This window comes from Homo sapiens, chromosome X, assembly GCF_000001405.40.
Source record: "Homo sapiens chromosome X, GRCh38.p14 Primary Assembly".
In the NCBI taxonomy this organism is placed as follows: Eukaryota; Metazoa; Chordata; class Mammalia; order Primates; family Hominidae; genus Homo; species Homo sapiens.
Genome location: NC_000023.11, coordinates 75,031,574 through 75,058,415, shown reverse-complemented (window position 1 = coordinate 75,058,415; position 26,842 = coordinate 75,031,574). Strand labels below are relative to the sequence as shown.

The window sequence follows — 26,842 nt, the reverse complement described above, 5'->3', positions numbered from 1 at the left end:
CTCTTCTTCCCCTAACCATACTAAAATGAAAGTGAAGAAATAAAATAAGCATAATAAGTATACAGCCGTAAGGACAAAGATAATAGGAGAAGGAGTAACAGTGGACAAGAGATACCAGCAAATTGGGGGAAACTGGTAAGTAGACAGATTAGCAGAGCTAAAAAGTTGTGTGTCAAAAGAGAGAGACATCAATTTAAAAAAAAGCAAGTTGATTCATGTTGTAGACCCCTGAAAAGGCTCAGGAATTAAAGGCACCAGATATGATGAAAAGTGGCGATAAGCATGAGGTTGAAAGTAACAGAATTAAGTGTAAGACTACATAAGAAATAAAGTTCCCAGGTCCCTTTCTCACCCCCACAGCCTGGTGTTTATACTCCTTCCTAACCTTAGCAAGAGTCTGGAGATTTACTTATCAGGAAATTACTGGCTTTGGACACAAGCAGACCACCAGGCACATTAACAATGAAGGGAGAGATTAACTGAAAATCAAAACATACCAAAGGATAGGACCACAGACCCTCTTGTGCCACTGGCTCCAAGAACTTTGCCAACCAGTTGTTTATTTTTACCATCACTACTCCTTAACTCATCAGCAAATAATAGGAGGATTCTTCTCTGGAGAAACAAAAGCAGCCCCAGGAAAAAAAAAAAAGATATTTGTATTTGAGAACCCCAACAAAATGTCCAGATATCTACATAATCATCCTACCATGAAGTCCAGTGGTTTAGAAAGGCATATTGATGCACACAGAGCTTCCGGTCAGCCTTTCAATGCTCTATTCTTAAATGTCAGTGGATAGACCTCCAAAACAGAGAAAAAAGGAACTCAATGGAAAATGTAGACTTTCTTAATATGCTCAGAGATTGTGGAAAATACAGTATTTCTAAAATAAGGACAGAAGAAAAAAAAAGTAACCTGTAATCCCAGCCACTTGGGAGACTGAGGCAAGAGGATGACTTGAGCCCAGGAGGTGGAGACCAGCCTGGACAACATAGCGAGACTCTGTCTCCAAAAATTAAAAAAAAAAAAGTAAAGGAAACTTATATGGCATGATCTGTAGAATATATTGGTAAGTGAAAAAAAAAAGTAAGATACAAAAGAGAATATAGCATGCTACCTTTTGCAAAGAAGATAAGGAAAAAGGAATATATGTATATCTGCTTATTTTTGCAAAAAGAAACTCAAAGGATAAACTAGAAACTAAAGCAATTGGCTGCCTATGGGATGTGGGTACAAAGGGTTAGAAGAGATACGGAAAAGAGAATGAAGTTTTAATATTTCTTTTACTTTTGAACCATGCTTAGTGTTTTTATACCTTCAAAAATAAAATTAAATCAACAAGGATGGGGAAAAATAAAAATTGAATACAAACAGAAAGAAGTAAAACGAATTGCATATAAAATTGCTAACATAACCACACAGAAGAAAAATAGAATTAAGCCAAGTAACTTTTGAATATATTACTTTGATTATATACCCTTAGTGGAATATATTATAAAGACAAAAATAACCCAAAGGAAATTTGAACCTAGTGTATTGTTGGTAGTAGTGTGGGGGTAACCATTTTGAGACTATTTTTGTGTATAGTGTAAGATTGAGCTTATGAGTAAATACATTGATGTTGGGAAACAGATCTCTTGGAGAAGAAAGATAAAAATATGGAATTGGCAAGGAAGAGGAGAACCTTGCGATATATTGGAATAGTATTATCAGTCTGAATTTATGATTTAAAAAAAATGTCCCAACTCTATTCACTGAAGAGGCCTAGAAGCTGTGAAAACCCAGTAGTAATGGGTATACTTGGCACCCAGATCTTGGGCACTAAATACTGTTCCTCACTAAAAGGAGCCAAGACTTTTTGGAGAAGTAGTTGATTCCCGATCTGGGTCAGGGGAACTAATGAACACAAGTCATGAGGACAAAGGAACCATTTTGAATGAGCTCCCACTAGCCAATTGGGGCATAAAAAGAGTAATGACACTAATTATAATACATTAAATAAAAAACATCTAAGCATCCATGATGATACTGCTAAAACAAAAATTATCAAGGGGAAAGGGACAATTCCCCTTTAGGAAGAAAGCCAACTAACACGTGAAATGTAAAAGGAATTACAAATTCAGAAAATCACACTTTACAGCCACCATTGTAATAATTGATTCAGGTAAGGGTCCTCACTGGTTGCTGAAACCATATGGTATAAAGCTATTGAGGCTAGAATATTTGCACGGTTTGAAATTACCATAGGTTACTTACTAATTAGAGAAAAAATACCTTGAAAATAGAGAAATAGAGAAACTGGTAGATGTCACCTTAACCAATTGATCAAACCTAATATCAGTAATGGAGCAAATTGAACTCATGTACCTCCTGATGTAATGCACTGAAGATGTATTATCTTTTCTTTCTACCCAAAATGTTTAACTTGGGCTGGGCATGGTGGCTCATGCTGGTAATAACAGCACTTTGGGAGGCAGAGGTGGGAGGATTACCTGAGCCCAGAAGTTCCAGACCAGCCTGGGCAACATAGCAAGAGTCTATCTCAAAAAAAAAAAATTTAGCCTGAATCTAATAATCAGAAACAACTAGACAAATACAAATTGAAGGGCAGTCTTTTAAAAACAGGACTGGACATTTTAGAAATATCAATGTCACAAACACACACAGACTAGAACGAAGCTGTTATAAATTCAATGTGTTGATCCTGATTGGATCCTAGATGGAAAAAAAGTATAAAGGACATTATTGGTACAATTGATGAAGTTTGAATATGGACTGTATGTTAAATAAGAATATCGTATCACTGTTCAGTTTTTTGTGTGTGTTTTTTGGTTGTTTTTTTTTTTTTTTTTTTTTTTTTTGGTAGAGATGGGCGGGGGGGTGTCTCATCATGTTGCCCAGGCTAGTCTCAAACTCCTGGGCTCAAGCAATCCTCTCATCTCGGCCTCCCAAAGAACTGGGATTACAGGCATGAGCCACCATGGCCGGCCATTGTTAAATTTCCTGAGTGTGGTATAGTTGTATTTCAGTAATGTAGGAGAATGTCTTTGTTTTTAGGAGATACATGCTAATGAAATATTTAGGGGTGAAGTGTAATGATGTCTGCAGCTCATTCTCAGATTGTGTAGCAAAAAAATCATGTATATATAGAGAGAAGGTGAGGTGGAGAAAGCAAATGTAGGAAAAAATAATGGTTGCCAAACTAGGAGAAGCATATAAAGTTGTTCATTGTGTCACTCTTGAAATATTTCAAAATTTTAAAATGGATTTGGTGAATAAATAAATAAAGGAATGACCTGAGAACAAGATTTTTGAAATGAGAAATGTCTTTGCTGAAATAAAGTCAAGGAAATCTCCAAAAGAAAGAGAATATAGAGAAAAGATCAGAAAACAAGAGAATTTATCTAAAAAGTCCAACATCTGACTAGTGGTAGTTCTAGAGAGGCCAGAAACAGGGGAGGAAATTGTCAAATAGTAGGTTGGTACAAAAGTTATTGTGGTTTTTGCCGTAGAAAGTAATACCAAAAAAGTGTCTAGAACTTCAGAGCAAGAGTTTCTAGATTGAAAGGGCCTGAGTACCCACCACAATGAATGGAAAGGAAAAATAAAGCTGTACCAGGGCACATTATCATACAATTTCAGAATTGAGGATGTAGAAAACAACCTAAAAGCTCTGAAGGGAATATCTCTGGGTGGTGAGGTGAAATAAACTAATAGATTACTTAATGTAGTTGATTATGAGAAAAATACTGTTGAGAAGGGTTTTGTGATTGTGTAATAAACTTTGGAGAGATTTCCAATAGTGACACAGAAAACTAAGCAAATGAAAAAAAAAAACAAGGAAGTTACTAAGTCTAGGAGAATTAAAAGACTATATAAGAAAATAAATATAAAATCCTAGTACCTACTTAGCTAAGCAGGGAATACTTACAAAGTCGTAATAAGGTAAACACTGAATCAAAATTTGTGATGTAACTGATGTTATTAGGAGAGTATATGATGTAGTAGTGGGAATGTGGGATAGTATGAGTGTTGAATCTCCGTATTCCATAGTAGGAAGTTAGTAGATAATGCCAGAAATGAATAAATCAAGGAATAGTGGTATAACCTTACATGTAAATACTTAAATGTAGGCACAGACATTTCAGTTATTTTACTTAAGGGTTTATTGTAAAAGTCTTGTTACCAGGAATACCAGTAAAAGTGACAGAAGTCCTTTTGTCTCTCAGCATGGTTAACCGTAGCTATCAAGAAACAAATTAATTGTAGATGAGAGTTTGGAATCTATACCACCAAATCTTTGCAGTGTTAAGTTTAATAACCATTGTTAACAAAAATAGCCACTGGAAGAAGTAAACTTTTCATTTTCATTAAATCTTTTTTATTTTATGAAATCTTTTTTATTTCAAAGTACACATAAGGATTTAAGGATATTATTTTTAAATCTTTTAAGTCTCTGTAAATAACAGTGCTTTTGATTTGAATATTTGCTGATTACAGAAAATATCACCTGTTTACATTTTAACCTTCCCTTTCTTCCCTTCAAAATGACAAATGAAACATTACAATTTTATTTCCTTTAAATAAAATGGTGTTTATGGTATTAGAAATTTTATAGCCTTTTGTTTGTTCTGGCACTGGGTAGCTCAACAGGGAGGAAAGCATTCCTACCTAAATTTTTTTCACTTATACTGTGTATGAGGAATTGGGAGAAGTATTTTAATGAATGCAAATCCTTCAAACTCCTTAGTTAGAAAGTATTTGGTATTTTCAGTTATTATGCTAGTTAAATGACCTTTCTCCGTGTTTCTCATGTGTTTACTTTTTAGGGTAAGGTAGCCGAACGTGGTACCCACCATGGTTTGCTTGCTAACCCTCATAGTATCTATTCAGAAATGTGGCATACACAGAGCAGCCGTGTGCAGAACCATGATAACCCCAAATGGGAAGCAAAGAAAGAAAATATATCCAAAGAGGAGGAAAGAAAGAAACTACAAGAAGAAATTGTCAATAGTGTGAAAGGCTGTGGAAACTGTTCGTGCTAAGTCACATAAGACATTTTCTTTTTTTGTTGTTTTGGACTACATATTTGCACTGAAGCAGAATTGTTTTATTAAAAAAATCATACATTCCCATTTTCTATAATCCTTCTTTTAGATAAGATTTATTTAAAAGGGGATTTGAGTTTTACATCTTTCATAGTCTATTTAATGTGGCATCTGTATTTATCCCCAAATTATTTTCTTGTCACTGTCCTGGTTGTGCTCAATGCATACTTTTTGCTACCTGTTTGATATTACCACATTACCCTCTTGAGGCCTGACATTCATTTGATCTATAGCCAGATGAATCAGATTGGTTTCCCAATTTTTATAGTTTTTAAAACCTTTATGCTGACAATTTAGAGGGAAAGTGTCTGTTTCTTAACATGAAAGAAAAAGAGGATAGTGTAGGTTCATTGTTTCTTCTCCCTCCTTCGTCCAATTGAAATTGATGTGAAAATGAATTTATAAACTTTTAAAATTAGAATGTATCAGAAATAGACATGCATTTATAGTTTGATGTCTTACTTGATAGGTTACTTACTTTTTTCTTTTTTGTTTTGTTGTTTTTTGTTTTTTGTTGTTTTTTTTTTTTGAGACAGATTCTCATTCTGTCACCCAGGCTGGAGTTCAGTGGCACATCTCGGCTCTCTGCAACCTCTGTCTTCTGAGTTCAAGCAATTATCATGCCTTGGCCTCCCAAGTAGCTGGAATTACAGGCGCATGACACCACACCTGGCTAATTTTTCTGTTTTTAGTAGAGACAGGGTTTTGCCATGTTGGCCAGGCTGGTCTTGAACTCCTGACCTCACATGATCCGCCCACCTTGGCCTCCCAAAGTTCTGGGATTACAGGTGTGAGCCATCATGCCCAGCCTATACTTAGAATTTTTTTTTTTTTTTTTTTGAGACGGAGTCTCGCTCTTTCTCCCAGGCTGGAGTGCAGTGGCGCGATCTCGGCTCACTGCAAGCTCCGCCTCCTGGGTTCACGCCATTCTCCTGCCTCAGCCTCCTGAGTAGGTGGGACTACAGGCGCCCGCCACCATGCCTGGCTAATTTTTTTGTATTTTTAGTAGAGATGGGGCTTCACCGTGTTAGCCAGGATGGTCTCAATCTCCTGACCTCGTGATCTGCCCGCCTCGGCCTCCCAAAGTGCTGGGATTACAGGCTTGAGCCACCGCACCCGGCCGCTAGAATTTTTGAAGTATTTGCAACTATGTACTTTTTGAAGGAAAAAAACCTTCATTCTCATGTCGCTATGTAGAATATTCTTCATCATTAAGCAGCACCATAACTATCATCTAGTGATTAGAATTTTATTTTTCCATAAAAATATGAGGCACTGTTTTTGTTTTGGACAAAACTACACATTTTTCTTTAAAGATTTACAAACTCCTATGTAATTTGAAAGTTGCTATACTGGGAGTAATCTGAAAAGCTTAGAAAGTTCATTTCCTTTTATATTTCCATCTTAAATGTGCTGCTTTTTCTATTCGAAGTTTACAAAGAAACAAGTAAATGGGATGTCGTGCATGTATGCACATGCTCACACGTGTATAAATCAGTGTCCATTTAAAAAATATTAACATTTAGGTAAATAGAGTATTACATATTATACTCTTTAGATGATCAAGACTCTAATCTGTGTTGACACTTCAGAATTTATTAAAAGATCTTCCCTTACTTTTCAGTAATTTAATTAGTTTCTTTAAGCCTGACATAACGAGGAGGAGCCCAAACAACATAATCAAGTTTTACCTTGGGAGGAAAAAAAGTTTTACCTGCTAGAAAGAATTAATAAAATATTGCTATACATTCACTTAGAAAGTTCTTCTCTTTTCCAGTATGAACTTGCTTTCATTTGTTTGGTAGTAATCATTCAATTTGAAAACATATGCACCTCATGAATGGCCACATAACTATGTAATAAGGTTTTATTTCTCAGAAAAGGTCCTAATATTTTATTGGTTTATAGTTTTAAGAAATTTTTCATGATAATTTGATATGGGAGAGATTAATTTTAGTATTGTTGACATTGGTGGGTGGATAGCTGAACTTATCTAACTTAGGTGTCCACTCTTGCTATATAAAGGTAATTTGATAAGTAACATGAAACCAGTATTTCGTAGTCTTTGCTGCCAGAGTAAGTGATGCAAGATCTTGCTTTTAAAGCTAGAGTTAATACTGAGATGCATAATCAACTGAAAAGTGGATTAGTTTTTTTTTTTTTTTCCTTTTCAACATTTCTTACTCTGAAACCATAGTTGTTACTGCTCTTCTGGGGGTGGGGTGAGTACTTTTAATAAACCAGTTGCATTACTGGAAATGTGGTTAAAGTCTCAATAGAAATTTTGCTTCTTTGTTAATTCCCTCTATACATTTCCAGTGATGCTGATGGAAAAGATTTTGCTTAGCCGCATAAACAAACACATAATACTGAAGTAACCATCAGCAATAATTCATTTTGAGGTGTGAATAGTGTTCAAAGTAAGTTATTTTGTGATATGGGAAACCTTTAGTCCAAGAAGGTTAGGAATGTTTCCAAGGTGTGGATAATTTTCCCACTAAGAGATACAAAGCTATTTTTTTTTCGTATGATTGTAAGTGGTCCCTACGCCATTGTCGTCATTAACCATTATTTTCAACTAACAAAATCTTAAATTACTTGAAAAGCAGTTATTGTAGGGTCCATAACTAAGTCTTAAAGGCATTTCTTTTAACCACTTCATATTAAGGTAGTTCTATACAGGGAAATAATAGACAAATTAAGATGAAAGAAAAGCTTCCTAGGATGATTCATTCAGAGGAAATGCCAAGAAAAAGGGCATTTAATTATAGGGTACTAATTTTACATTATAATATTATGTACTCACACAAAAGGATAAAGTGTATAAATTTCTAAATCAGTGTTGCAACATAATGTTTTTTAATATATTGAGATGAATCAGGTACAGTTTTAGAATATGGAATCTGAAAATGGAGCAAGATGATAGGGTTTTATTTTTTATGTCTCTTTATTTTAAAGATTGAAAATTTTACTTTCTTCCTAAGGGACTTCCAGTTTACAAAAATTAAGTTGAAACCAAGGTAATTTGGGATTGTAAAAACTGGGCCAGATGCCTTACTGAAGGTTCTTAACATAGAAATATCTTGGTGAGCAGATGGGCTCATTTGGAAATTTTTAACAGCTCAAGTCTGAGGGTCACTTTTGAAAATCAGAAAGAGACCTTAGCATTTGGACATGAACAAGCTCAAGATAAGCCTTATGTTTTTCCTCTACAGAGATTTGCACCTTTTATAAACCTTAAGATAAATATTGTGTCATTCCTTTGGATGTTGACAAAGTAGTTTGTGAAGATGGCTGTTTTTAAAAAAGTTTTTGCTTTAAAGGCAAGATATTTAAAGATTGTATGATTCCTTATTTCTGGATCTCTTTGTCCATACTGCCATCTTGCTCTTATCCTTCCTACTTGCTGAATGTGTTGCTGAGTAGCAACTTTTGCCAGTGTATATTCACAATTCTCTTACCTTGTATCTTTAGTACTAGATAGTCTGTCCTGGATTAATAGTTGAAAGCATTTAAATATGTTTGCAATTGCAGTTTTCTTAAATTGTAAACAAATCCCTTTGAATATATAGATTTTTAATGTAAATTTTATAGTAAATGATAATACCAAATCAAATAGATTAAAACTGGTCAGTTAAGACAAAATAACTCAGTCAGAGAGGCCCTTAACCTCACTGTTATTGTTTATAGCAATCTATGTAGATAAACATTACTAAATAACATTATATTTGTGACAAGAAATGGGTATCCCATTGAAGCAACTCTTCTCTGCAGTGTCCAGGGAAAACTGATATTTTGTCATTCACATACTGAGAATAAATACAGATAATTAAGAGACACTCCGAGGGTATGACCTTACAGCCTTATGCAGAAGGTAAAAACTTGGAATTGTTTCTAAGTAATTGTGAAGCTCATAATGTGGGTAAAATGGCAGCAAATTATAGTGTGCTTTCAGTTGACATTAAGCTGTCATAATTTTGATGATCAATCAGTGAAAGGCAAGTTTCTGTTGCCCCCAGTTTCTCAGTTCTAATGATTAGGAAGTAAACTTTTGGGTATAGAAATGTCTTGACTGCAAATCATGTGATAAACTAGCATTTTTATTAGCTAGGTAGAGTTGGAAATGAAATGCATGCTCTAATTAATAACAGGTTGGAGCATTTTTTGGTTGAAAAAGGTGAGTGGATTGTTTCCATACTTCCTGTTGTTACACAACTACAGTAGTTTCAGTTTCATAAAATCATGAGATTTTAAAGTTAGAAGGAGTTTAGAGGTCATTTAATACAATCCCCTCATTCTACAAATGAGGAAACAGGCCAAGTTGGGATGAAAACCCTGGCTCCTGACACCTAGTCCGTTCTTCCTTCTACTGCACCACATTTCCACTGAAGTTACATTTAAAAATAAATTGGAAGCCAACGAGGTTTATCCGAGGCACAGTTATTGCTAATTGAAAATTTTTCCCGATACCTGGCCATTATGACTTGAAATACAGTTGGCATTGGTGAAATAAATAAATTGGAGAGTAGGACTTCCATAATAGCAAAGTAAGGAGCTCAATAGACCCTCTCCCCAGCAAAACAACATTTTTACTGGTAAAATTGTTTTTTAAAACAATCATTTAAAATTTCTGAAAATTGTCTTAAGGGCATATGGGAAATAGAGAAACATTCATTCAAGAAAATATGTTGAATCTTATTAAGAACAGCAAAAGTCTGGTCTTTGAGGAACAACCTGTTCCATATATCCCCCACCCCCATCCAAGTGTTACCTGAGTGTTCCACCCTGGATGCTCCATTCAGGGCCTGTATGCTGAAGATGATGGGGATAGGTGGGGCTCACTCTTCTCCCAGCTCCCATTCTGGGACTACAGTTTCACCCTGTCATGGCCAACTGTTTACATTTCTTATCCCACCCCTCAACCCCATACAAACACATGCTCAAACCTGTGTTGCAGAAACTCTATCCCAGGCAGACAAAGCCAAAAGGACTAGAGATGCCTTCTGCCACCCAGCCCTACCCCCACCCCCTTAGAGTAGAAATTCTATTCTATGCAAAGACTGAGAATAAGGGGGCCCTGATTTTCTCTATCCCAGCTTGCTCATAACATTGGAGGCATCACCCAAAGAAGGAAACTGGCAAATACGGGGGACTTCCACCCCACCCCATCACCCGTGAGTAAAATGATGATTTCATTTCAGGAAAAATGAGCCCCACCCTCAGCTTCAGTTCAGTGATGCAGAGGTTCTGCCCAAGGGGAAAGGCATGCAATAAAGACAACTCCATAGCTCTGCCTGTGGAAACTGACTTCATTTGGAACAGAGCATGAAGAACTTCATCCCTAAAGATGTTGTCAAAAACAGTGGATGGAGATCTTGGTGGAGATCAATTAAGGGAAGCTTGCACATGCAAAGGAACCAGAAGTTTAATAGAAACATGAAAGAGACAGCCAAGAAGAGCCGTCCTGAGAGTGCAGTCAACTATGGGGGTTGAAAAGTCTGTGTGCATGTGCTGGGTCTGCACCCACTCACGACAATCAGAGCAGAACATGGGACATACTTGAAAGCATTCCAATGCATGCAGACCCATCAACAGAAGGTGCAATCTTTACTGGCACAAGGAGTTTAAAAACAACCTTTGACCAAACACTGCAATAAGCTACTTTGACCCAGAAGTGACTCCCAGGAACAAGGATTAAAAATAAAATTACACTCATCCCTGGCAATCTGAAAGACTGTGTGTATGTTGAAGGTTGTGCCTTCTTAGGATGATCACACAGGGATCCTCCAAGCTTCTAGTCCCTGATGAATATGGGTGAAAATAAATTTCCTGAACTATTTATAACAGCCTCCAAACATGCACACATCCAGTCGTAAAGGGTAGAAATCCTATTGACGAATAAGTGCCTTGTGCTAACCTGGGGGCAACCCTTAGGTATTAATAGCTGAACTGAAAAATAGAGCTAACATCAGGCTGCACACTGTGGAGGAAATAACCAAAATCCCCCAGGAAAGGAGGATCAATATCCAGGATTGCTGTAAGATACTATCTAAAATGTCTAATTTACAAGAAAAAATTACAAGACATGGAAAGAAACAGGAAAGTGTGACCCATACACGGGGAAAAAGCAGGTGATAAAACACTGCCTTAGAAGTGGCCCAGATGACTTTTGTAGCAGGCAAAAGATTTGTCAACAAAGAGAATTTGTGTGTGTGTGTGTGTGTGTGTGTGTGTGTGTGTGTGTCTACAAATGGAAATTCTGGAGTTGAAAAGGTACAATAACTGAAATAAATTCACAAGAGTTCAGTAGTATATTTGAGCTGGCAGAAAAAAATCTGAACTTGAAGGAAGATCAGTGGAGATTATGCAGTCTGAAGAACAGAGAAAAAAGAATGGGGAAAAATAACAAGAGAAATGTGTACCAACATATGCACAGTACCAGGAGGAGAGAGGGGGACTAAAAACTGAAACTTACGAGAATACTTAAATTTGATGCAAAACATTAATCTACACATCAAAGGGGCCCAACAAATGTCAAGTAGGGTAAACAAAGAGACACATCAAATGTTGTGAGCAAAAAATGAGAAAATCTCAAAAGCAGTAAGAGAAAAATAGCTCATCACCTACAAAGAAACCCCAATATGGTTAACAAGTGAAGTTTCATCAGGAACAGTGAAGACCAGAAGATACAATGATGACATGTTCAAATTGCTGAAATTAAACAAAACTACCCAAATGAGAATATTATATCTAGCAAAACTCATTCAGAAATGAAGGTGAAATAAGATGTTCCCAGACAAATAAAAGGAAAACTCAATAGTAGTGACTTGCATTATAAGAAATAAAAAGGTAATTTTTCAGTCAAAAAGCAAGTGACACCAGACAGTGATTCAAATCCACGTGAAAAAAAAATAGGAAGCACCAGTAATGGCAATCATGTGAGTACTTTAAAAAGACAATTGCATGCTTCTTTTCCTTTCTTCTCTTAACTGACTTATAAAGCAACTGCATAAAACAATCTGTATATTATTATTTTATTGGGAATGAAACAAAGCTATGTAAGGAATGATACCAGGTAATATCTTGAATCCACAGGCATGAATGACGACAGCCAGAAATGGTATCTAAGAAGGCTAATATCACGAACTCTCTGCATATATATGTGTCCTTCTCTCAGCTTTTTAAAAAGGCAAGGTCATATAAAGATGATAATGTATTGGTTTGTAACATATATAGACATAATATGAATAACAATAGCACAAAACTGGGATGGAAAGCTATATAATAGTAAAATTTCTATATTTCACTGCAACTAATCCGTACAAATATGAAGTAAATTCTGGTAAGTTACAATGTATATTGTAATCCCTAGAACAATCACTAAGAAAGTTACTTTTAAAAATAAACTTTTTTTCAACATTTATTTTAGAATCGGGGTACATGTGGAGGTTTATTACAAAGGTATATTGTGTGATGCTAAGGTTTGGACTACAAGTGAATTTGTCACCCAGGTAGTCAGCATAGTACTCAATAGGTAGTCCTTTATAACCTTCACCCCTTCTCCCTCCCTTCTCTTGTATTCTGCAGCATCTGTTCCCATTTTTATAACCATATGTACCCCAGTGTTGAGCTCCCACTTATGAGAAGATGTGATATTTGGTTTGCAGTTTCTGCATTAGTTCACTTAGGGTAATGGTTTCCAGCTGCATCTGTGTTGCTGTGAAGGACATGATTTTGTTCTTTTTTATGGCTGCATAGTATTCCATGGTATATATTCACATGTACATAATCCAGTCCACCATTGATGGCCACCTGGATAGATTCCATGTTTCTGCTATGTGAATAGCACAGCAATAAACATACAAGTGCATGTGCCTTTTTGGTATAATGATCTATTTTTCTTTGGGTATATACCCAGTAATGGGATTACTGATTCAAATGGTAGTTCTGTTTTAAGTTCAAACTGCTTTCCACAGAGCCCGAATTAATTTGCATTCCCACCAGCAGTTTATAAGCATTCGCTTTTCTCTGCAGCCTCGCCGGCATCTGTTGTTTTTTGACTTTAGTCAAAAAATAGCCATTCTGACTAGTGTGAGATGGTATCTCAATGTGGTTTTGATTTGCATTTTTCTGATGATTAGTGATGATGAGCCTTTTTCATGTTTGTTGACCACTTATGTGTCTTCCTTTGAGAAGTGTCTGTTCATGTCATTTGCTCATGTTTATTTATTTTTTGAATGATTTCTATAACTTTTTTATTTTGATCTGTTCTAACATTCTTTTATTATTTAACATGATGAAATTAGATTTCTGTATAGTTTCTCTACTATAATTAATAAAAACCATTTCGGCTTTTAAAATTCTCATTTAGAAATTCTCCTGTCATATTTCTTTACTGAACATTTCCACTGCAAAAACAGAATCAAGACATTTAAAAACTTTTCATGATACCATTGTGCCTCATTTAAACTTTCAAACTTTTAAACTTTTCCTTTATTCTCTACCTCGGTGAGATTTCTAACCCCTTGGCATTGACTCTACCATTGCACACTTTGATTACTCAATTACTTGCTTCTATCTTGAGTTCAACTCCTATCCTGACTTTTTATTATTATTATTATTATTATTATTATTATTATTATTATTATTATACTTTAAGTTTCAGGGTACATGTGCACAATGTGCAGGATTGTTACATATGTATACATGTGCCATGTTGGTGTGCTGCACCCATTAACTCATCATTTAACATTGGGTATATCTCCTAATGCTATCCCTCCCCCCTGCCCCCAACCCACAACAGACCACACTGTGTGATGGTCCCCTTCCTGTGTCCATGTGTTCTCATTGTTCAATTCCCACCAATGAGTGAGAACATGCGGTGTTTGGTTTTTTATCCTTGAGATAGTTTGCTGAGAATGATGGCTTCCAGCTTCATCCATGTCCCTACAAAGGACATGAACTCATCCCTTTTTTATGGCTGCATAGTATTCCATGGTGTATACGTGCCACATTTTCTTAATCCAGTCTATCATTGTTGGACATTTGGGTTGGTGCCAAGTCTTTGCTATTGTGAATAGTGCCGCAATAAACATACGTGTGCATGTGTCTTTATAGCAGCATGATTTATAATCCTTTGGGTATATACCCAGTAATGGGATGGCTGGGTCAAATGGTATTTCTAGTTCTAGATCCCTGAGGAATCGCCACACTGACTTCCACAGTGGTTGAACTAGTTTACAGTCCCACCAACAGTGTAAAAGTGTTCCTATTTCTCCACATCCTCTCCAGCACCTGTTGTTTCCTGACTTTTTAATGATCACCATTCTAACTGGTGTGAGATGGTATCTCATTGCGGTTTTGATTTGCGTTTCTCTGATGACCAGTGATGATGAGCATTTTTTCATGTATCTGTTGGCTGCATAAATGTCTTCTTTGAGAAGTGTCTATTCATATCCTTCGCCCACTTTTTGATGGGTTGTTTGGTTTTTTCTTGTAAATTTGTTTGAGTTCATTGTAGATTCTGCATACTAGTCCTTTGTCAGATGAGTAGATTGCAAAAATTTTGTCCCATTCTGTAGGTTGCTTGTTCACTCTGATGGTAGTTTCTTTTGCTGTACAGAAGCTCTTTAGTTTAATTAGATCCCACTTGTCAATTTTGGCTGTTGTTGCCATTGCTTTTGGTGTTTTAAACATGAAGTCCTTGCCCATGCCTATGTCCTGAATGGTATTGCCTAGGTTTTCTTTTAGGGTTTTTATGGTCTTAGGTCTAACATTTAACTCTTTAATCCATCTTGAATTAATTTTTCTATAAGGTGTAAGGAAGGGATCCAGTTTCAGCTTTCTACATCTGGCTAGCCAGTTTTCCCAGCACCATTTATTAAACAGGGAATCCTTTTCCCATTTCTTGTTTTTGTCAGGTTTGTCAAAGATCAGATAGTTGTAGATAAGTGGCATTATTTCTGAGGGCTCTGTTCTATTCCATTGGTCTATATCTCTGTTTTGGTACCAGTACCATGCTGTTTTGGTTACTGTAGCCTTGTAGTATAGTTTGAAGTCGGGTAGCGTGATGCCTCCAGCTTTGTTCTTTTGGCTTAGGATTGACTTGGTAATGCGGGGTCTTTTTTAAAGTCCATATATATGAACTTTAAAGTAGTTTTTTCCAATTCCGTGAAGAAAGTCATGGGTAACTTGATGGGGATGGCATTGAATCTATAAATTACCTTGCCTTTGTCCATGTTTAATGGAGTTACTTGTTTTTTGCTTGTTGAATTGTTTATATTCCTTATAGATTCTGGATAATAGACCTTTTTCAGGTGCATACTTTGTGAATATTTTCTCCATTTTGTACATAGTCTTTTTACTTGCTTGATAGTTTATCTTGCTGTTCAGAAGCTCTTTAGTTTAATTAGGTCCCACTTGTCACTTTTTGTTTGGTTGTAATTGCTTTTGAGGACTTAGCCACAAATTCTTTGCCAAGTCTGATGTTGAGAAGGGCATTTCCTAAGTTTTCTTCTAGGATTTTTGTAGTTTGAGGTTTTAATCCATCTTCAGTTAATTTTTATATATGATGCTAGGTATGGGTCCAGTTTCAGTCTTCTGCATATGGCTAGCCAGTTATCCCAGCACCATTTATTGAATGGGGTGTCCTTTCCCCATTGCTTATTTTTGTCAACCGTGTTGAAGATTAGATGATTGTAGGTATGCAGCTTTATTTCTAGGTTCTTGATTATGTTCCATTGGTCTATGTGTCTTTTTTTTTTTTTTTGTATCAGTACCATGCTGTTTTCGTTACTATAGCCTTGTAGTATAGTTTGAAGTCAGGTAATGTGATGCCTCTGGCTTTGTTCTTTTTTTCTTTCTTTCTTTCTTTCTTTCTTTTTTTTTTTTTTTTTGGTTCCATATGAATTTTAGAATAGTTTTTTCTAATTTTGTAAAAAATTACATTGGTGGTTTGATAGAAATAGCATTGACTCTGTAAATTGCATTGGGCAGTATGGCCATTTTAATGATGCTGATTTTTCCAATCCATGGGCATGGAATATCTTCCATTTATTTGTGTCATCTCCGATGTCCTTTAGCAGTGTTTTGTAATTATCCTTATAGAAGTCCTTTACCTCTTTGGTTAGCTGTGTTCCTAGGTGTTTTATTCTTTAAAAAAAATCCTTAGAACATCATTAATAGGATCAAAATGTTACACTGCAAAATGTCCATGCATCAACTGTCCATGCATCAAATGACACTATGCATCAACTAGACCTAACAGACATCTATAGAACACGCCACCCAAAATCAGAATACATGTTGTTCAGGTGGGCCATAAAACAAGCCTCAGTAAATTTAAAGTGATTGAAATGGTACAAAGAATGTTCTCTGACCACAATAAGAATGAAATTAGAAATTATTAGTGGAGGGAAACTTGGAGATGTCATAAATATATGGAAATTTAAAAACATAATTTAAATATAGGATAAGGAAGAAATCACAAGGGAATTTAGAAAATACTCTGAGATAAATGAAAAGGAAAACACAAGAAAAACATGTGGAATGCAGCAAAAGCTGTGGCTAGGGGGAAGTTTATAGTTGTAAATACCTATATTTAAAAACAAGGAATATCTCAAATTAATAACAGCCATTCACATTAAGAAACTAGAAAAAAAGAGCAAACTAAATGCAAAGCAAGCAAAATAAAAGAAATATTAGAGCATAAATTAATGGAGGATAGAAAATCAGTAAATAAAATTAATAAAACTATGAATTGTTTTTTGAAATATCACAAAATTCTCAAGTCTTTTAACTACACTGGCAAGTAACAAAATACTTAAGACTCAGATGATTAAAATAGTGAAAGAGGAGACATCACTATGAATCCACAGAGGTAAAAAAAATATTTTAGAAGAGTACTATATATAAATGCCAACAAATTAGGAAACTTAGATGAAATGGACAATTTCATAAAAGGACACAAAACTGACTTAAGAAATAACATGAATAGATCTATAACAAGTAAAGAGAATAAATTACTAATAAAAACTACCCACAAAGACAAGCCCAGGCCTAGATGGCTTCCTCAGTGAATTCTACAAAATATTTAAAGAGGCACTGATACCAACACTTCACAAACTTTTTCAAGATATACAAGAGGAGAGAACTTTTCTCAGTTCATTCTGTGAGGCCAGTATTATCTTGAAACCATAACAAAAGACATCACAAGAAAACTTCAGATCAATTTTTCTTAGATATATAAATGCAGAAATCCTCAATGAAATACAAGCTAACTGAGTCCAACAACATTTTTAAAAAATCATATGGGAGAGGGAAGCAGAGCAACATGCCTGAATAGAGGCTTCCCACAATCATCCCGTCACCGCCCCCACAGGAACACCAAATTGAATAACTATCCACATGAAAAAGCACCTTCGTAAGAACCAAAAATCAGGCGACCAATCACAGTATCTGATTTTAAAATCATATTACGGAAGGAGGCACTGAAGAGGGTAGTCTCGAGTTGCCAACACCACTCCTCCCCCATCCCTCTGCAGCAGCAGGGGCCATGTGGCATAGAGGGAGAATCTGTGAGCTTTGAGGAGAGAGAGAGAACAGTGATAGTGGGACTTTGCATTTGAACTCAGTGCTGCACTGTCACAGCAGAAAGCAACACTGGACAGAACTCAGCCAACATCCACACAGGGAGTATATAGACCAGCCCTAGCCAGAGGCAAACTGTCCATTCCAGCACTGGCAACCTGAGTTCTGGCAAGCCCTGCCAAGGTGGGCTAAAGTGCTCTGGGGTTCTAAATAAACTTAAAAGGCAATCTAGGCCACAAGGACTGCAATTCCGGGGCAAGTCTTGGTGCTGTGCTGAACTCAAGGTCAGTGGATTTTAACTTGATCTAGTGAGACATCAGCCAGGGCTGTCAAGGGAGTGCTTACATCCCAGCTCCCTGACCCCAGACAGCACAGCTTGCAGCACTAGGAGAGACTCCTTTTTTTCTGCTTGAGGAGAGGAGAGGAGAGTAAAGAGAATTTAGTCTTGCAACATGGATACCAGCTCATACACAATAGGATAGGACACGAGGCAGAGTCCTGGGGCCCCCATTCCAGCCTCTACCTCCCGGATGACATTTCTAGACACACCCTGGGCCAGAATGGAACCCACTGCCTTGAAGGGAAGGACCCAGTCCTGGAAGAATTCACACCTTCTGAGAAAAGAGCACTGGGCCCCTGAATAATCAGCAGTAGTAGCCAGGCAGTACTCACCAAAGGCTTGAGTGAGACTCAGAGTTGTGTCAGTGAGTGTGACCCAGCATAATCCCGGCTGTGGTGGTTATAGGGAGAGACTCCTTCTGTTTGAGGGAAGTAAAGCAAAGAGTAAAGAGGACATTGTCTTACATCTTGGGTACCAGCTCAGCCACAGTGTGAGCACCAAGTGAGCTCTTGTGCTCCCCTGACTACAAGCCTTGCCTCTTGGACGGCATTTCTGGACCTGCCTTGGGCCAGAGGGGAGCACACTGCCCTGAAGGGAGAGACCCAGGCTGGCACCATTCACCGCAACCTGACTGAAGAGTGCTTGGACTTTGAGTGAGCATTGGTGGCAGCCTGGCAGTACTCCCTGCAGGCCTGGGGTGGTGATGGCCATGGAGAGCCTGAGGAAATGGGAGGAAAGACTAGGAAAGATTTTGTCTTGTGGCTTGAGTGTCAACTCACCCACATTAGAGTAGAGCAAGAGATAGAGTCCTAAAGTTTTGGACTCTAGGACCTGGTTCCTGGAAGGAATTTCTGGACCTAGCCAGGGCTGGGGGAAGCTCATTGCCCTGAAGGAAAGGACACAAGGCTGGCTGGATTTTCTACCTTCTGACTGAAGAGCCCTTGGTCCTTGAGTGAACATGAGTGGTGGCCAGGCAGTGGTCCCTTGCGGGCCTTCGATGAGACCAAGTGATGCGCTGCAATCGAGTCTGACTTAGTGCAGTCTTAGTAGTAGTGGCCCCAGGTATACTGGTGTCACCCCTTTCCCAGCTCCAGGCAGTTCAGCACGGAGAGAGAGAGACTCCATTTGTTTGCAGAAAAGGAAAGAGAACAAAAGCCTCTGCCTGTTAGTCTAAGGAATGCTCCCAGATCTTATACAAAACACCAAGTTGATGGTACCTCCACAAGTCTGCAAGAGCCACAGTGTTACTGGAATTGGGGTGCCCCCTAATGGAGATATGGCTGCAGTAACCAAATACTTAGATCACAATACCCAAGACCCTTTGGATGCTTAGAAATTCTTCTCAAGAAGGATGGATACAAAGAAGCCCAGACTGCAAAGACTACAATAAATACCTAAATCATCAATACCCAGACATGGATGAACATACATAAGTCAGGACCATTTAGGAACACATAACTTCACCAAACAAACTAAATAAGGCAGCAGTGACTAATCTCAGAGAGACAGAGATATGAGACCTTTCAGACACAGCATACAAAGCACTTGTTTTGATGGAGCTGAGTGAAATTCAAGATAACACAGAGACGAAATTTCAGTGGAAAGAAACAAAAAGAATCAAGCAGAAATTCTGGAAGTGAAAATTTTATTTGACATACTGAGAAATGTATCAGAGCCTCTTAGTAGCACAATTGATCAACCAGAGGGAAGAATTAGCTTAAAGACAGGCTATTTGAAAACATACAGTCAGAGGAGACAAACAAACAAACAAACAAAAAACAATAAAAAAGAAGGAAGCATGCCTACAAGACCTAGAAAATAGCCTCAAAAGGGCAATTCTAAGAGATAATGGCCCTGAAGAGGAAGTAGAGATAGAAATAGGGGAAGAAAGTTTATTCAAAGCGATAATAACAGAGAACTCCACAAACCTAGAGAAAGATATCAACATCCAAGTACAAGAAGGTTATACAAGATAAAGCAGATTTAACCCAAAGACTACCTCAAGGCATTTAATAATCAAACTACCAAAGCTCAAGGATAAAATGGACCCTAAAAGCAACAAGAGGAAAGAAACAATTCTCAGTGAAAACCTCACAGGCCTGGAGAGAGTGACATGACATATTTAACATACTGAAAGACAAAAACTTTTACCCTAGAAAATAATGTATCTGTCAAAAATATCCTTTAGGCATGAAAGAAAGAAAGACCTTCCCAGACAATCAAAAGCTGAGGGATTTCATCAACACCAGACCTGTCCTACAAGAAATGCTAAAGGGAGTACTTCAATCAGAAATAAAAGGATGTTAATGAGCAAAAGTAAATCATCTGAAGACACAAAACGCGCTGATAATAGTAAATACACAGAAAAACACAGACTTTTAGACCATTGTAATTGCAGTGTGTAAATCTATCTTAAGTAGAAAGACTAAAGGAAGAACAAATAAAAAGTAATAACTACAACAAAGTTAAAATGTAGAGTTTTTGTTACTTGTCTTTTTGTTTATGAAATCAGTAGTAAGTTGTCATCAGTTTAAAATAATGTCTTATAAGATAGTATTTGCAAGCCTCATGGTAACCTCAAATCAAAAAACATACACCACATACACACAAAAAAAGCAAGAAATTAAAACATATCACCAGAGAAAATCACCTTTACTAAAATGAAGACAGGAAAGAAGGAAGAGAAGACCACAAAGAACCAGAAAACACATAACAAAATGGCAGGAGCAAGTCCTTGCTTATCAATACTAACATTGAATGTAAATGGATGAAACTCTCCAATTAAAAGACATAGAGTTGGCTGAATGGATATACCCATAAGACCCAATACTCTTGCCTACAAAGAGCACACTTCCCCTATAAAGACACGTATAGACTGAAAATAAAGGGATGAACAAAGATATTCCATTCGAATGGAAACCCCAAAAAAAAAGAGCAGGAATAACTATACTTATATCAGGAAAAAATATATCACAAGACAAAACCTATAAAATAGAAAAGAAATGTCATTATATAGTAATAAAGGGGTAAATTCAGCAAAAGGATATAACAATTATAAATATGTAAATATAAATATGTAACCAACAATAGAGCACCCAGATATATAAAGAAAATATTACTAAAGAGTGGTAGACCACAATGCAATAATAGCTGGAGACTTCAACACCTCACTTTCAGCATTGGACAGAAAATCAACAAGGAGAGGGTTGCTGGCAAGATGGCCGAATAGGAACAGCTCTGGTCTGCAGTTCCCAGTGAGATCAACACAGAAGGTGAGTGATTTCTGCATTTCCAACTGAGGAGACACCTCCCAGTAGGGGCTGACAGGCATCTCATACAGGAGAGCTCTGGCTGGCATCTGACGGGTGCCCCTCTGGGACGAAGCTTCCAGAGGAAGGAACAGGCAGCAATCTTTGCTGGTCTGCATCCTCTGCTGGTGATACCCAGGCAAACAGGGTCTGGAGCGAACCTCCAGCAAACTCCAGCAGACCTGCAGCAGAGGGGCCTGACTGTTAGAAGGAAAAGTAACAAAGGGAAAGGAATAGTATCAGCATCAACAAAAAGGACGTCCACTCAGAGACCCCATCCAAAGGTCACTGACTTCAAAGACTAAAGGTACATAAATCCATGAACGTGGGGAGAAACAAGTGCAAAAAGGCTGAAAGTTCCAAAAACCAGAATGCCTCTTCTACAAAGAATCACAACTCCTCGCCAGCAAGGGGACAAAACTGGACAGCGAATGAGTTTGACAAGTTGACAGAATTAGGCCTCAGAAGGTGGGTAATGACAAACTCCTCTGAGCTAAAGGAGCATGTTCTCACCCAATGAAAGGAAGCTAAGAACCTTGAAAAAAGGGTAGACAAATTGCTAACTAGAATAACCAGTTTAGAGAAGAATGTAAATGACCTGATGGAGCTGAAAAACACAGCATGAGAACTTCGTGAAGCATACGCAAGTATCAATACCCAAATCAATCAAGCAGAAGAAAGAATATCAGACATTGAAGATCAACTCAATGAAATAAAGCGAGCAAACAAGTTTGGAGAAAAAAGAGTGAAAAGAAATGAACAAAGCCTCCAAGAAGTATGGGACTATGTGAAAAGACCAAACCTACGTTTGATTGGTGTACCTGAAAATGACGGGGAGAATCGAACGAAGTTGGAAAACACTCTTCATGATATTATCCAGAACTTCCCAATATAACAAGGCAGACCAACATTCAAATTCAGGAAATACAGAGAACACCACAAAGATACTCCTTGAGAAGAGCAATCCCAAGACATAATCAGATTCACCAAGGTTGAAATCAACGAAAAAATGTTAAGAGCATCTAGAGAGAAAGACCAGGTTACCCACAAAGGGAAGCCCATCAGACTAACAGTGGATCTATCAGCAGAAACCCTACAAGCCAGAAGAGAATGGGGGCCAATATTCAACATTCTTAAAGAAAGGAGTTTTCAACCCAAAATTTCATATCCAGCCAAACTAAGCCTCATAAGCAAAGGAGAAACAAAATCCTTTACAGAGAAAGAAATGCTGAGAGATTTTGTCACCAGCAGGCCTGCCCTACAATAGCTCCTGAAGGAAGCACTAAACATGGAAAGGAACAAGCGGTACCAGACACTGCAAAAACAAGCCAAATTGTAAAGACCATCTAGGCTATGAAGAAACCACATCAACTAATGGACAAAATAGCCAGCTAGCATCATAAAGACAGGATCAAATTCAGACATAACAATATTAACCTTAAATGTAAATGGGCTAAATGACCCTATTAAAAGACACAGACTGGCAAATTGGATAAAGAGTCAAGACCCATCAGCATGCTGCATTCAGGAGACCAATCTCTTGTGCAAAGACACACATAGGCTCAAAATAAAGGGATGGAGGAATATTTACCAAGCAAATGGAAAGAAAAAAAAAAAACAAGGTTTGCAATCCTAGTCTCTGATAAAACAAACTTTAAACCAACAAAGATCAAAAGAGACAAAGAAGGCCATTACATAATGGTAAAGGGATCAATTCAACAAGAAGAGCTAACTATCCTAAATATATATACACCCAATACAGGAGCACCCAGATTCATAAAGCAAGTCCTTAGAGACCTAGAAAGAGACTTAGACTCCCACACACTAATAATGGGAGACTTTAACACCCCACTGTCAATATTAGACAGATCAATGAGACAGGAGGTTAAAAAGGATATCCAGGACTTGAACTCAACTCTGGACCAAGCAGACCTAATAGACATCTATAGAACTCTGCACCCCAAATCAACAGAATATACATTCTTCTCAGCACCACATAGCACTTATTCCAAAATTGACCCATAATTGGAAGCAAAACACTCCTCAGCAAATGCAAAAGAATGGAAATCACAATAAACAGTCTCTCAGACCACAGTTCAATCAAGTTAGAACTCAGGATTAAGAAACTACTCAAAACCGCACAACTACATGGAAACTGAACAACTTGCTCCTTAATGACTACTGGGTAAATAATGAAATGAAGGCAGAAATCAAGATATTCTTTGAAACCAGTGAGAACAAAGACACAACATAGCAGAATCTCTGGGACATATTTAAAGCAGCATGTAGAGGGAAATTTATAGCACTAAATGCCTACAAGAGAAATCAGGAAAGATCTAAAATCGATGCCCTAATATAGCAATTAAAATAACTAGTTGAGAAGTAAGAGCAAACAAATTCAAAAGCTAGCAGAAGAAAAAAATAAGATCAGCAGAACTGAAGGAGATAGAGACACGAAAAACCCTTCAAAAAATCAATGAATCCAGGAGCTGTTTTTTTTAAAGATCAACAAAATAGACCACTAGCCAGACTAATATAGAAGAAAAGAGAGAATAATCAAATAGATGCAATAAAAGTGATAAAGAGGATATCACCACCGATCGCACAGAAATGCAAACTACCGTCAGAGGATACTATAAACACCTCTATGCAAATAAACTAGAAAATCTAGAAGAAATGCATAAATTCCTGGAAACATACACCCTCCCAAGGTGAAACCAGGTAGAAGTCAAATCCCTGAATAGACCAATAACAAGTCCTGAAATTGAGGCAGCAATTAATAGCCTACCAACCAAAAAATGTCCAGGGCCATACTGATTCACAGACAAATTCTACCAGAGGTACTGTAGGGGGTGCATGGCAACATATTCAACCTTATATATATGGTATTTGAGGTCGAGGTAGGGAAAAATATCACTATATGTACATTATTTGTGCATGAGAATGAAACTCCTTGACCCTGCAAACAGCACAGGGAGTGGAGTGTGTGGTGTGATAAGGAACACTGCAAACAGCCTCCTGAGAATGCGGTTTGAGTGCTTTTACAAAGCCACAGGTGTCTCAGGACCCGAACTCAAAAAAGGCATCTAGTGTATGTTTGTAGTTAATACAAGCCCTTTTAATAAATACTTGGCAGATGGATGCTGGGGCAGACTCTATTAGAAGAGCTGCCCCCAATCCCGCTCAGCTGGAATTGTCTGAGAACTCATTCTTGGTGTTCACTGCAAGCTGTAAGCTCTGCAAGGTAAAAAGAGGAGCTGGTACCATTACTTCTGAAACTATTCCAAACAATAGGAAAAGAGGGACTCCTCCCTAACTCATTTTATGAGGCCAGCATCATCCTGATACCAAAACCTGGCAGAGACACAACAAAAAAAGAAAATTTCAGGCCAATATCCCCGATGAACACTGATGCAAAAATCCTCAGTAAAATACTGGCAAACCGAATCCAGCAGCACATCAAAAAGCATATTCACCATGATCAAGTCACCACCATCGCTGGGATGCAAGGCTGGTTCAACATACACAAATCAATAAACATAATCCATCACATAAACACAACCAATGAAAAGAAACTACATGATTATCTCAATGGATGAAGAAAAGGCCTTTGACAAAATTCAACAGCCCTTCATGCTAAAAACTCTTAATAAACTAGGCACTAATGGAATGTATGTCAAAATAATAAGAGCTATTTATGACAAACGGACAGCCAATATCACAATGAATGGGCAAAAACTGGAAACATTCCCTTTGAAAACTGGCACAAGACAAGGATGTCTTCTCTCACCACTCCTATTCAACATAGTATTGGAAGTTCTGGCCAGGGCAATCAGGCAAGAGAAAGAAATAAAGGGTATTCAAATAGGAACAGAGGAAGTCAAATTGTCTCTGTTTGCAGATGACATGATTGTATATTTAGAAAACCCCATCATCTCAGCCCAAAATCTCCTTAAGCTGCTAAGCAAATAGAGCAAAGTCTCAGGATACAAAATCAATGTGCAAAATCACACGCATTCCTATACACCAATAACAGACAAATAGAGAGCCAAATCATGAGTGAACTCCCATTCACAATTGCTACAAAGAATAAAATACTTAGGAATCCAATTTACAAGGGATGTGAAGAACCTCTTCAAGGAGAACTACAAACCACTGCTGAAGGAAATAAGAGAGGACACAAACAAATGGAAAAACATTCCATACTCATGGATAGGAAGAATCAATATCATGAAAATGGCTACACTGCCCAAAGTAATTGATAGATTCAATGCTATCCCCATCAAGCTACCATTGACTTTCTTCACAGAATTGGAAAAAACTACCTTAAAGTTCACTGGAACCAAAAAAGAGCCTCCATAGCCAAGACAATCCTAAGGAAAAAGGACAAAGCTGGAGGCATCATGCTACCTGATTTCAAACTCTACTACAAGGCTACAGTAACCAAAACAGCATGGTACTGGGACCAAAACAGATATATAGACAAATGGAACAGAACAGAGGCCTCAGAAATAATGCCACATATCTACAACTATCTGATCTTTGACAAACCTGACAAAAACAAGCAATGGGGAAAGGATTCCCTATTTAATAAATGGTGTTAGGAAAACTGGCTAGCCATATGCAGAAAGCTGAAGCTGGATCCCTTCCTTACACCTTATACAAAAATTAACTCAAGGTGGATTAAAAACTTAAACATAAGACCTAAAACCATAAAAACCCTACAAGAAAACCTAGGCAATACCATTCAGGACATAGGCATGGGCAAAGACTTCATGACTAAAACATCAAAAGCAATGGTAACAAAAGCCAAAATTCACAAATAGGATCTGTTTAAACTGAAGACCTTCTGCACAGCAAAAGAAACTATTATCAGAGAGAACAGGCAACCTCCAGAATGGGAGAAAATTTTTGCAATCTATCCATCTGAGAAAGGGCTAATGTCCAGAATCTACAAAGAACTGAAACAAATTTACAAGAAAACAAACACCTCCATCAAAAAGTAGGTGAAGTATATGAACAGACTTCTCAAAAGAAGACATTTATGCAGCCAACAAACATATGAAAAAAAGCTCACCATCACTGCCCATTAGAGGAATGCAAATCAAAATCACAATGAGATACCATCTCACACCAGTTAGAATAGCAATCATTAAAATGTCAGGAAACAACAGATGCTGGAGAGAAAGTGGAGAAATAAGAATGTTTTTACTCTGTTGATGGGAGTGTAGATTAGTTCAACCATTGTGGAAGACAGTGTGGCGATTCCCCAAGCATCTAGAATTAGAAATACCATTTGACCCAGCAATCCCATTACTGGGTGTATACCCAAAGGATTTTAAATCATTCTACTATAAAGACACATGCACATGTATGTTTATTGTGACACTGTTAACAATAGAAAAGACTTGGAATCAACCCAAATGTCCATCAATGATAGACTGGGTAAAGAAATTGTGGCACATATACACCATGGAATACTATGCAGCCATAAAAA

General features: G+C 37.4%; 1 protein-coding gene across 5 annotated transcripts in view; it reads left to right on the top strand.

The window, feature by feature from the left end:
- The window catches only part of ABCB7 (ATP binding cassette subfamily B member 7), a 105,236-nt gene extending 97,868 nt beyond the window's left edge, over positions 1–7,368 (top strand). For all 5 annotated transcript variants that reach the window (NM_001271698.3, NM_001271697.3, NM_001271696.3 and 2 more), the window contains one exon: positions 4,831–7,368. In NM_001271698.3, coding sequence (NP_001258627.1) covers positions 4,831–5,046 — 216 coding nt within the window. In that variant the 3' untranslated portion in view covers positions 5,047–7,368. The remainder of the gene's footprint in view (positions 1–4,830) is intronic.